Source organism: Homo sapiens, chromosome 3 (genome assembly GCF_000001405.40).
Source record: "Homo sapiens chromosome 3, GRCh38.p14 Primary Assembly".
In the NCBI taxonomy this organism is placed as follows: domain Eukaryota; kingdom Metazoa; phylum Chordata; class Mammalia; order Primates; family Hominidae; genus Homo; species Homo sapiens.
Genome location: NC_000003.12, coordinates 78605696 through 78618694, shown reverse-complemented (window position 1 = coordinate 78618694; position 12999 = coordinate 78605696). Strand labels below are relative to the sequence as shown.

Genomic DNA, 12999 nt, shown 5'->3' with positions numbered 1-12999 from the left:
TGTTAAAAATAGTTAATGATCTTTAATGAAACTCATAGCGAATAAATCAGAGAAGAATTACTCTTGGCTTCCATAGCTTTTTTTTAATAGAATAAAATCTAAAGGAAATTATGTCATATGCTGAATGTGTGCTTTTTTAAATCTTATGAAATTTTACTCTTTATAGTGAAGATGAATGACTTCATTTGCTTGAAAAAGTAGGAGAGGTGATTTAAAAAAGGGAAAGAAACAGATGTTTGTGGAGCAAAGTGTTTCAGGATGAATGTCAGTTGTCTTCAGTAATGATAAACTATGGATAATATTTGAAATGCTTTAGGACAGATACATATGTGTATGTTTTCAAAACAAGTATTACTTTTCCTTTTTTCATGAAACATAATCCAAATGATAAAACATAAGAAGGCTTAGAGATAACTGACTATATTTCTATTAAACTTGAATCAGAAAGTAACCCGGTGGAGCCTCTGGTTGCGAAGTGCAACTCAATATAAAATCAAACTTAAATATATTGTGATATTCAGTTGTTTTTCTGAACATATGAGCTCAAAAGAAGTAAAGGTCAAATCTGCATGCTTGTGAATTTCTTGGGTAATTTGTCCTTTTATGTCTTAAATAACAAGCTGAGCCAGACCTATTTATTCATCTTCATACAGACGGCAGCCTGTGAGTCCTCCTCCACCACCACGGCCGATCTCCCCTCCACATACCTATGGCTACATTTCAGGACCCCTGGTCTCAGATATGGATACGGATGCGCCAGAAGAGGAAGAAGACGAAGCCGACATGGAGGTAGCCAAGATGCAAACCAGAAGGCTTTTGTTACGTGGGCTTGAGCAGACACCTGCCTCCAGTGTTGGGGACCTGGAGAGCTCTGTCACGGGGTCCATGATCAACGGCTGGGGCTCAGCCTCAGAGGAGGACAACATTTCCAGCGGACGCTCCAGTGTTAGTTCTTCGGACGGCTCCTTTTTCACTGATGCTGACTTTGCCCAGGCAGTCGCAGCAGCGGCAGAGTATGCTGGTCTGAAAGTAGCACGACGGCAAATGCAGGATGCTGCTGGTGAGTCCTAACACTTTTCACCAAGCTGGGAAAGAAAACTCAATGTATATATGTTTGTTGCTGATTCTGTCCTATGATCTTACGTCCTATTTGAAAAGCATCTATTCTTACAGTTTTTTTTTTTTTTTAGCTGCCTAAGGAAATGACAGTCCAAGAATATGACTTAGTTGGATTATTCCCTTTTCCTTGACAAGGCTTTTTAAATCTTCTATTTAGTTTTTATTTAATAAATCTTACATAATATGAGTGATAGGGAGCTACCTCATTTTTTAGGATAGCCATAGCAAATATACGTATTACACAAATTGATATAATTTCTTTAAACTATACATACAGTCAATTAGATGAAGTTTGTGTTTTTGAATGTATACTCTAATTTTTTGTGTAGAACCTCACCAAAATCAAATTTGTTGTGATAGTTCTCTTGTTTAAATAAAAATTCTGTAGGGAAAATACATAAATATCCAAGTAGATCACTTTGACCTTTGGAAAATGGGCTATTTCTCCTTAATTCCCATTCTCTTTATGTCCTCTCAAATTAGAATATTAATTGGGAAGATATGACGGTATATGTAATGTGCATACATTTTCAAGCATAAACGTTCCATACTTACAGTAAACATTTTAAATATAATAATTGGGAGAGCAAGCTAAACCAAGTGCTTTTCATATTTTTACTTTCATTGCTAGTAACCCATTTTTAATTACCATATATTCATCTTTATGTTACAACATATTTTTACTTATCTCCTCCTCTTCCCAATTCTGTTTAGAAAGTAAATAGTTCAAGAAAGAAAAGAATTTAAATGTAAGACTTATTTATCACATGATTTTCATTTCTGTAGAATTAATATATACATTCCCATACATATTTTTGTGTGTTTATATTTTTGATAGCCAAGAAAATCTAAATAGTAGAGTGAAATGATCAGCAAGAAAGAGATACATTTCAGAGAAGGAAAAGGCCATCACAACAAGTCAGTTACTGGTATTTTACTGTTTTATTTTTCTTAATTTAATAACTACCACATTGGTAGTCTTCCATGGTCTTTTCACATATTGGATTGGCCATTATTTTTTATCAGTGTAGAATATATTCAGATAAAATGTAAATTACATTATAAAGTCATCTCTATATATTATTTATCAAGAATGTGTTACAGGAAAAAGATTTCTAATATCTCTCAACTTATTATTGTAGAATATATATTTATTTTGGCCAGGCCTATATTTTATGTCATTCAATCAAATATGGTTTTTTATTCCTCTAGTAGCTGCTGAATGTAATAAACTATGCAAACCTAATTATCTTTCTTAATAAATAAATAACATCTAACTTTACATACGGCTTTTGTTTTCTCCTTATTTTTTAACCTTCTGTAAAAAATGGTGAAATTAAGTATCTCAAACCACTGCTTTGAGAATACGTTAGAAAATATTTCAGTTTATTAAATGGACGAAACATAGAAATAACATTGAAAATTCATCTGTAAACAACCTTATAGCTCAGAGTCTGTGAGCAGTGGATGGCCTTACACAGTAGAATGAATAATGGGTTCAGTCTCAGCCCTAATTCTCTGTTTTCATGGATATGTAACTTTAATTGTAATAGTCTCCATCATAGCTAAAGAGAGGTTGGTTTAAAATTTTATTGTTTTGTAATTTAATGGCACTTCTGGTTTTCCTTGAGCTCATAATTTTAATTAACTAAACATGCATTGGCCTCTGCTTATTGCAGTGTCTTTTCAGGGAATGACGGTGCTTGTCATGTGACTTGAAGTTAATATGAATATCCAATCACACTGCTTCTCACTTGGCTGTGTTAATGTATATTATTTAATATGCTTCAGTTATCATCTTTAAATGTGTTGATTGCACTATATGTGGCTTCTGTTTATAGCCAAAAGACATGTTGTCGCGGTCCATTTGAAGTTTCTTGTGGTACAGTAGAAAGTTCTGGATTTGTGACTAGAATTTCTAGAAACCAAAACAGTGAAAGTCAAACATAGGACCAATATATCTCCATTGGGATTATGGATTAAATATGTTGTAGGTGTTGTAATACAGCATCTATGTAAGGCACCAGAGAACGTGGGAGCTTTGAAATACGCCATGTCTAATTAGTAAATTCAGTTCCCACTGGTACCTGGGATTATTGTTTCTCCAAAACCAAACATCTACCTCTTCCACCACCAAAAAAAACAGAAGTCTTGGAGGGATCACGTTAAGTATCCAGAACTAGCAAATATTTAGAGATAGAAAAGAGATGTAAGTAATTTTTGGCAGACCTAAATATGTGAGCTAGATCAATTTCAGACCACCTGAAGAGAATACACCTGAGTCTGTCTTCAAAGTATACTATAAATATATGTTTAATTAAAATATGGGTGCCATTAGTACTGTTCATTTTTCTTAGAACATGAATTTCTTAAGAACTTTAGCTCTTCTTTTGAAAAAGCAACAAACATTGGCTATATTATGCAAACATTTAATTACTATTTTTTGTTTAAGTATAACGTTTTAGTGAAGCTAATTGCAAAAATAATTGGAATACTTTTCTTTAATAAATAGGTATCATGAACTTTAACAGAATAAAAGCACTGCGGTTTAAAACAAATGAAATAAGCAGAAAATGCTTTTGGGGTATTTTTTCCAGTAAATAGCAGAGTGACAACAAGCCTGTTATTTGCTGGAAGAGTTTGTTTAAGCTTTTTTTGTTGCTTTTCAGAAAAATTAAAGCTGTTTCTGGTTTTAATGTTTTCTTTTTGTTGTTCCTGTTGTAATTAAAATTCACTGATGAGTTTGGCTTGGATTTTTTTTTTTTTTCTCCTTAGGCCGTCGACATTTTCATGCGTCTCAGTGCCCTAGGCCCACAAGTCCCGTGTCTACAGACAGCAACATGAGTGCCGCCGTAATGCAGAAAACCAGACCAGCCAAGAAACTGAAACACCAGCCAGGACATCTGCGCAGAGAAACCTACACAGATGGTGAGTCCATTGACACGGATGAAAACGTCTATGAATCTCGCCTATTTACCCTGCCTCTCTAGGACTAGCAAATGCATTCACTGACGTTAGAAATTACATTAAAAATTTATTAACAATCAGCTTCATATTACTTATAGAAGCGACCTACTTACATATTTTGTCAAGCATCTCTACTCCTTGCAGTTTTCTGATAAGCTTGTTATTTAAAAAAACAAAACCATTTGTAGATCCTTAATATTTTTGAAAGTTATTTTATAGTTTCAAACAAATGAACATCACTGTAGTTGAAACTGATAGTTGAAGTAATGGCATAGGTTTAACCTTTGTCAGATTTACTGATAAATCCTCCAAAGTGTCTTCATTTTTTTATTTTACAATTTTGCATTCAAATAGAAGACAGTAAATGTGTTTGAATATTAATTCTAACAACAGTGGTGTTACGAACAGTTATTTTGGGCATCAAAAGATAAATCACCTTTCTTCATGCCTTCACATACAATATCCACTCTCACTGAAGAGGTAACGTTCATATTCTCGAGGGAGCACAGGAGGAAAATGCAAACAGTGTGATTTTGTCTAGAAAAAGCCTTTAATGAAAGTGCCTCAGGTGGCCCAGCATTTATTAAACCACCACCTTCTCATTTTATAAAACAACCCCACAGGCTTTGTTGGAAATTCATGTAAGATAAATTCTCTCAGACTCACTGCTGTTGTCAAGTTTGCTACATTTGCTAAAGGGGTGGAGGAGGAAGGATGTTACAGGCATAGTTCCCCCACCTCCTGGTCCTCTGCAACAAAATCTGATTAGGACTTTCATTACCAGTCAGCAATTTTTCAAAAAGGGCATCATTTGCCATTATCATATGAAAGCCTAATATTATAGATCCTTATCCAAGGTTGCAAGGAAGGTTTTCTGAGGTACTTCTCCCTATGATTCCTACCACTTGACAGAAGAATTTAATACAAAGCTCACAGCATGATGAGCACAAGTAATTTTGCAATGAGTGGCTGTCCATGCTATTATCTATACTTTATTCTGAGTATTTTCTCTCACTGGCATCTATCTGATATTAGACTACATTAAATACTGGCGTGACACAGCGCACCTGGGCCTCCTGGCTTCTGCCCAGGACTCTTTTGTTAGTAAAACTGAGCTGTCAGAATATTATCTGATTTTGAAGGGTTATTACAGTGGCTTTTTGCATGTTTGCCTCTGTGAAGGGACAAACACTAGGTATAAATCCCCCAACTCTACCAGCAATTTTACATTTATGGGACCACCAGAATGGCATTTTTCAAGTTTTATGGCTGTTTTATCAAATTTTATTATCTAGAAGAGAGTGCTTCTCACTGAAAAACTGACCAAACATCAAGCCTGGATGTAAACACATCTAAATTGAATACATAAGGGAGAAAATCTGGCCTAAAGCCTTGTGTAGATCTTTCTACCACATATTTATACTTGTTCAAAGGGGAATCTGGCATTGAGTGATGCTTTTTAAAAATGTTTTAAATAATGTAAGCATGCCAAGTTAAAGAATATTGTATCACAGTTATAAATTACACTATGCTTGAAAATTGTCTGTATTTATTGTCCCACGTTCCGTAGTACTTGTTTCAGTGTTAATAATTAAATATAATTCTAACTAATCCCTGAATAATAACTATTAAATTGAATGATGATGCCTCCAAGTTATGTTTTAAATTAATTTCAGAAATACCAAAGACATATATTGAAATATTTATGAAGCCAAAAGTTAATCTGAAATGTTTATTTGGATTTCTAATTGCTCATTCCGCAAAAGTGATTATGCAAAATTATGATAGTGTATACTGCAATGTAAAAGCCAATAATTATTTTCTCTAAGTCACAAAAATAGATAAAATGGAGAAATGACTAAAGCTATTACAGCATTCACTTTCTTTCAATATTTTGGTAACTATCCTTCAAGTTATGTTTACTGTACTAACAAGTCTTTATGCTGAATGCTTACTGTTTGGTAAAGAAACACAAAATAACAATGCTGTGTCTTATTATATACATATCCCATCATGCATATTGATTAAAGTCATATAATGCAGATTCTTGTTAATGCACTAAATAAAAGAAATGCAGACACGCTGGATGGCAGTGGTTATGACGTAGAGACAAAAGCCATTTTTTCGGAAATTATTTTCCCAAAGTACTACACTGCATTTTTGGAAAAAATATTCATAGACCAACTCATGAAGAAGCTCAATGGCAGACACAATTGGTACAATTTATTAAAAAAGAGAAGGGAGAGGAAGAAAAAATTTAAAGAGCTACCGATTGTTAAAATGTGAATTGAACATATTTGTAAGACATGAAGGATTTTGTGGGGTTTTTTTTCTTTTTAGTGGGCAAAATGTATGGATTATGATGGATGAGTTTGATTATTGTCAATACATTTATGTGAACTATTGTTCAGAATATGGTTTGTCAGTATTGATTTTGTAGCATCTTTACTTTGTAAATTTTGTTCAGATTATGACATTCCTTTGTAGAGTCTTTAAAAACTATATAAAGAAGGATAAAGAGTGGCCATGTCTGAACGGATAAAGAGTAATTTGCGATGATCCTTCTCAGTTAATCCTTGTATTAGTTTGCTAGGGCCGCCATAACAAAGTACCATAGACCAGGTGGCTTCAAAAACAGAAATTTATTTCTTCACAGTTCTGGAAGCCAGAAGTTTAAGATCAAGGTGTCAGTAGGAGTGGTTTCTTCTGAGGCCTCTCTCCTTGGCTGGGAGACGGCCATCTTCTCCCTGTGCTTCACCTGATCTTCCCCCAGTGTATGTGTGTGTCCTAATCTCCTCTTGTAATGACATCAGTTATGGATTAGGACCTACCCCGGTGACCTCATTTTAACTTCATTACCTCTTTAAAGACTCCAAATACAGTCACATTCTGAGGTACTGGGGGTTAGGACTTCAACATTTGAATTTTAAGGGGGCACAATTCAGCCCATAACAGTGCACCAGCCCCTGACACCCGGCATTGTGGCCAAACCTTGCTCTGCGGTCAAATCCAAGGTCTCGTAAGCACGCAGGGAGAACTCGATGCAAAGGAGAGTGCTGCATGCTACAGTCACACTGACAGGCGGTATCTAATGATTTATTTATTCCATATTTGCCTCTTACAAGTTGAACCCAGATAAAGGGTAGGATTAGGATATATGAATATTTATTAGCCAGAGTCTTATTGAGTAAAAGCCAGGAATAAGTGCATTTCTAGGACCTTCTAATAGATTCTTTCCATCCTCTCTCTTCAACCTCTCTAATGCATTTACATAGTTGATTTAAAAACCAAATCTACATTATTTCTCCATTCCTACTTTTCATAAATTATAAATTCACCACCCTCTTTGGAATGATGTTATTTTGACTTGATTTATCATTAATTACAAGGTCTGAGGACTTGAAGCGGTCAAGTAAATAGAGTGCTGGATCTCTATAGCAGGTTAATGTTGGCAGAATTGTCTGAATGCGTATGTTCTTATATGTTACTTTACATGCATTATACTGTTATTTGGAAAGTCTTGTAGAAAGAATGAGTGTTTATAAGATTACATGAAGTCTACACACATACATACAAAACAAGTCCACAATCCAATTTGTGAAATCCAATTTGTACTACTCATGGTACAAATTGGGTGAAAGCACTATATATCACTATGTGGAATATGGGATTGTTTATACTATAATAATCCCTGGCCTCATAGGCAGAGATATCCCTGCTTGGTGATATTTTGTAATACCTAAGAAAGAATTTATTTGGCAATCTGTTTATATAAGAAATCAAACCTGTCAACATTTCCCTCTCTAATTGTCAATTAGGTACAGTGACAAATATATATAGGAAGTTAGAATTCTTTAAATTATCATCAGGTTCTCTTCTCTTTTTAACTTGTGTTATAAATAACACCTATCTAGAACATCTAGTAACAGATTTTGTCTCATGAGTCATATATTCCCAAGCCTTTGTATGATGTTAAGATAGTGGTAGTCATCAGTTTTGATATCTTAAAGGCCCAGACATTTTATGATTTGATGATAGTGGCAGTCATCAGCTTCCTGATAATCTGCGTTCGCAATCCAATTTAAGTTTATAGCAAGCAGATAGTGCAGAAATGAGCCTGCAGTCACTCACTCTCTCTGCTTCGTGGTATGTTCTGAATTAGACTTTTTTCCCCTTGTTGCCAATCCCAGGCTCAGTCTGAACTTAAAATCATTCTTCCTTGGGTCCCTTGGCTTTAGGCTACTTGATACAGCCTGTTTTCTAACTCTCTCTTTTTGGTTATCTTTAATAATAAGTAACATCAAGGGAGGGGACATCATAGTAGTTATTTTTATGTATTATTTTTTGAAAAATCTGTTAAAGTAGTAGACAAAGGAGGAAAAACACACTTGTGACACTGTCGATCTATCTTGCAAGACAAAAAAACTTGATTTTATAAAATCAGAGGGAAAATTAGTGCTATTGGCTATAATTGGCTACCATTTTGGCTAAACTGTTGAGTCTATTTATATGATACTCGAACATGGTAAGCCATGAAAACCACTAACAAAAGAATGCAAGTAAAAGTGTGATCACTTCTTATAATCATTCCTAAGTAAAACAGCTGGTAGGTACTAAGATGGCAACTCAGACTGTCTGTTTTCAAAACTAATACAATGAATTCTAACACCTTAGCTTTAGCATATAATGCCAAAAGAAAATAAGTTTCAAAAAATTGTATATTTATGGAACAAAAAAGTTTCATTTATTTTTTAAAAATATGTAATTATGAGAAATACTAGGTTAAAACTGATGCTTCTTAGGGCCATGAATTTGCTGTTATACTAAGAATCTTCAAAACACAATTTTAATATTTAACAGTTTCTCATGCTGATACATGAAAATGATGGTCAATGGCCCAGTGTCAATAATAATAAAATATCTGGAAACAACCAGAATATTTCTCTATAGGGATTGGCTAAAAAATAGTGATGTAGTCATAGAATATAACATTAGGCAAACTTTTCCAAAAAAGAGTAAAGCCCTATGTACACATATGGAAATCTGTATAACTACCTGGTTAGGTGAAAAAAGCGCAATCCATTCATGTTGGTAAAGAAGGAAGGCTGTCTCTGTGTGTGTGTGGTCCTTTTTATCTGGTCACCACATGTGAATGGGAAGACAGGTACTCTGTGTCATCCCAGGTGTGGCCATTTTATATAGTCCTTGATGTGAACGGTGCTCCCTGCAGTTATGAGACTTGACAGCCCTGCTTTATAAACAACTTCAGGAATGATCTATAGAAAACCATTCAAGCCCATTACCTCTGCATAGTCAATACTAGGGATTTGAAATGGAGGTGGGGAGGTACGGAGGTTGTTCTTTCAAGTTTAAACTCCTACTGAATTTTTTACCATGTAAATTTGTATTTTTTTAATTTAAAATCTTAAGGCTAATTTTATAATACTAAGCATGCAATAGATGTTTTATGAATGTGTTTTAGTTTATTCTAGACATTATTCTAGAAATGTGAAAACGTTACCATTTCTAAAGACATGACTTAAAAACATAGCTATGCTGATAATTCCAAAATCCCTGTATCTCTGGTTTTGATCTCTCCTGAAAGTCAGATTTTATTTACAAATACCTGTTGTACCTTTCTATTTTGATACTCCAAAGGCTCCTCCTATTCACTTTTTTAAAACTGAACTTACAGTCTTCCTTCACAAACTCTCCCTTTTGTTGCATTCTGTACCTTCAGTGATGTTCTTTTCATTCACCGAGCCAACTGTGACAAAAATCCTAAAAGTCATCTTAGATTCCTTCCTCCCCCCACCCCTGTACTGTATTTCATTGATCCTGAAATAATATTGATTTTTCTGCCTTAATCTCAAACACATCTTTTCCTCTCCATCTGAACAGACACCAGTAACATTTTATCACCTATCATTAATTATGTGAGTTATTATAATAATCTCTTGACCTCCAGAATTGAAGCTTTTCTTATTAATACATTCCCCATACTGCAGCCGGAATAACCGAAACTTAGTATCTACTCTTATTCTTCTACTAAATTACCAAATAATATTAGGATACATATTTCCTTTCTCCCCGGAGGAATGATTTTTAAAGATAGCACTGATTAAAAAAATTTTTTCTAGATATCAAATTTTATGACTACTTTCATTCTTAAGTATATCTATGATATACAAAATTGAATTATAGGCTGGGTGTGGTGGCTCATAGCTATAATCCCAGTGCTTTAGGAGATCAAAGTAGGTGGATGGCTTGAGCATAGGAGTTCGAGACCAGCCTGAGCAACATAGTGAAACCCTGTCTCTACAAAAACTACAAAAGTTAATCGGGTGTGGTGGCATGTAGTCCCAGTTTCTCAGGAGGCTGAGGTGGGAGGATCACTTGATGGGAGACAGAGGCTGCAGTGAGCTGAGATCACACCACTGCACTCCAGCCTAGGCAACAAAGCAAGACTTTGTCTCCAAAAAAGGGAAGAAATTAAATTATATAAGTTACATTATATGTAATATGTATTACTTAAGATGTAACTACAACTAGAAGTAACTGTGTGTGTGTGTGTGTGTGTGTGTGTGTAAATGAAATTAACATATATTTATACCAGTGATTATCTGGTTTAAAACCTCTGGGTACGTAAACACAATGGTGAGATGCCATCAATGAATAGTAGATTATAAACATGCAATTGAATGTAGTAATATAAAGAACACTGAACCATTGGTTAGTCCTGGTTCTGATTATATCTAGGTTTGAGATGACACAGTAGCTTAAGGTCTACATATTTGAGCTTCCTTCTCTACAAAATAAGAAGAGATTTAGGCTAGATTAGAGATGGCAAATAAGTCTCAACTCAAGTACCACCTCAATCAATTTGCAGTGATTTTCTGAGGAGCAAAGGCATGCATCTGGTACTAGCAGTGTTATACTGAAATCAATTAGGAAGCTCTACCATACTTGGGAGAGAGAAAGTTACAGTACAAATACCCAGCGTTAGCTATCCCAGGAGCAGATGTCACTAAGTACCAACTTTGTCATTCAATGGTTCTGTGCTAGATAACAAGAGTACATTAAAAGTGTTGGTCTTGGCTGGGTGCAGTGGCTCACACCTGTAGTTCTAGCACTTTAGGAAGCCAAGGTGGACAGATCACTTGAGTCCAGGAGTTTGAGACCAGCCTGGGCAACATGGCAAAACCCCATCTCTACAAAAAACACAAAACGTAGCCAGGTGTGGTGGTGCATGCCTATAGTCCTAGCTACTCGGGAGGCTGAGGTGGGAGGATTGCTCGCACCCAGGAGGTCAAGGCTGCAGTGAGCTGAGACTGCGCACCTGCACTGTAGCCTGAATGACAGAGTAAGACCCTGTCTCAGAATAAATAAATAAATAAACATAAATTTTAAAAAATTGTGGGTATTTTTCCTTGGTTACCTTCAAGTATTCTAGTTCATCTAAGATATAGTATCTCGTAGGTGAATGTGGCTCCAATGATAATCCAAATGTTTGATGATTTTATAAGCAGCAGACTTTTACAGTAGTATTTTTAATGTTTCTTTTTAGATCTTCCACCACCTCCTGTGCCGCCACCTGCTATAAAGTCACCTACTGCCCAATCCAAGACACAGCTGGAAGTACGACCTGTAGTGGTGCCAAAACTCCCTTCTATGGATGCAAGAACAGACAGATCATCAGACAGAAAAGGAAGCAGTTACAAGGGGAGAGAAGTGTTGGATGGAAGACAGGTTGTTGACATGCGAACAAATCCAGGTGATCCCAGAGAAGCACAGGAACAGCAAAATGACGGGAAAGGACGTGGAAACAAGGCAGCAAAACGAGACCTTCCACCAGCAAAGACTCATCTCATCCAAGGTACTCATCCAATCAAGCAGCAAATAAATACAGATTGAGTGTGTTTGCAAGGCATACAGTTAGGCTCTATATGGCCATGTAAAAAGTGGTAAGATTAAGAAGTTTGCTCTCCAGTGGAGGAGATAGGCATGTACTCGAATAATTTTAATACAGTTCACTCCAGTATATGCCTTTATACTCAACATCACCTGGAGAGGTGCCAACTGAGTTAGATTTTAAAGGAAAGCATGATTTCCACAGGTTAAAGAGGGAGAAGGGATATTGGGGAAAATAAATAGGTTGAGAAAAGAACATGAATGTGTGAAAATGAATGTTTGGTGAACAATGGTTTCCACTTTGGCTGGAGAATTGAATATTTGGGGCCAGAGACCATCTTTACAAAAAATACAAAAATTAGCTGGGCATATTGGCACATGCCTCTAGTCCTAGTTACTCGGGAGGCTGAGATGGGAGGATGGCTTGCACCCAGGAGGTCAAGACTGCAGTCAGCTGAGATCACACAACTGTTCTGTAGCCTGGGTGAAAAATAAAACTAGAAAGGTGGTTAGGCCAAGTTGCAAAGGCCAGGGATACTATTCTGAAGGGTTTGAGATTTATAACAAGGGCATTTGTGAGCCAACAAGTAATTCTGAGTGAGAAATGACATAATCAGATATGTGTTTTAGAAAAATAACTGGCAGCACTATACAGTGAAGGAAGAGACTGGAAACCAGTAGATGAAGGTGTCAGAAACATTACAGTAACACTCTAAGTATAAAATATGAAAGCACTGAATTAAAATAGCTCAGAAGAACAGGAAGGATCAGCCTGTACAGACACTTCAGAGAGTGGCCCAATAAGACTTGGTGGCTAATTGAATGTTCAAAGGTAAGTTGAAATAATAGAGTAAACAAAAAAAGTTATTCATAGGTTGACTAGGTGGCCCTGAATGACCAGTGAAACATGATTGTATTAACCAGTGTAAAAAAAATAAAATAAAGAACAGGGAAAATGTTAAATTTCATGGGGAAAATTATTGCAGTTTTGAATGGATTAAA

At 35.6% G+C, this 12999-nt stretch overlaps 1 protein-coding gene across 18 annotated transcripts in view; it reads left to right on the top strand.

Annotated features, from left to right (window-relative positions):
• Window positions 1-12999, top strand: part of ROBO1 (roundabout guidance receptor 1) — a 1170760-nt gene that overhangs the window by 1149304 nt on the left and 8457 nt on the right. For all 18 annotated transcript variants that reach the window (XM_017006982.2, XM_047448664.1, XM_047448661.1 and 15 more), the window contains 3 exons: window positions 654-1060; window positions 3895-4047; window positions 11654-11962. In XM_017006982.2, coding sequence (XP_016862471.1) covers window positions 654-1060; window positions 3895-4047; window positions 11654-11962 — 869 coding nt within the window. The remainder of the gene's footprint in view (window positions 1-653; window positions 1061-3894; window positions 4048-11653; window positions 11963-12999) is intronic.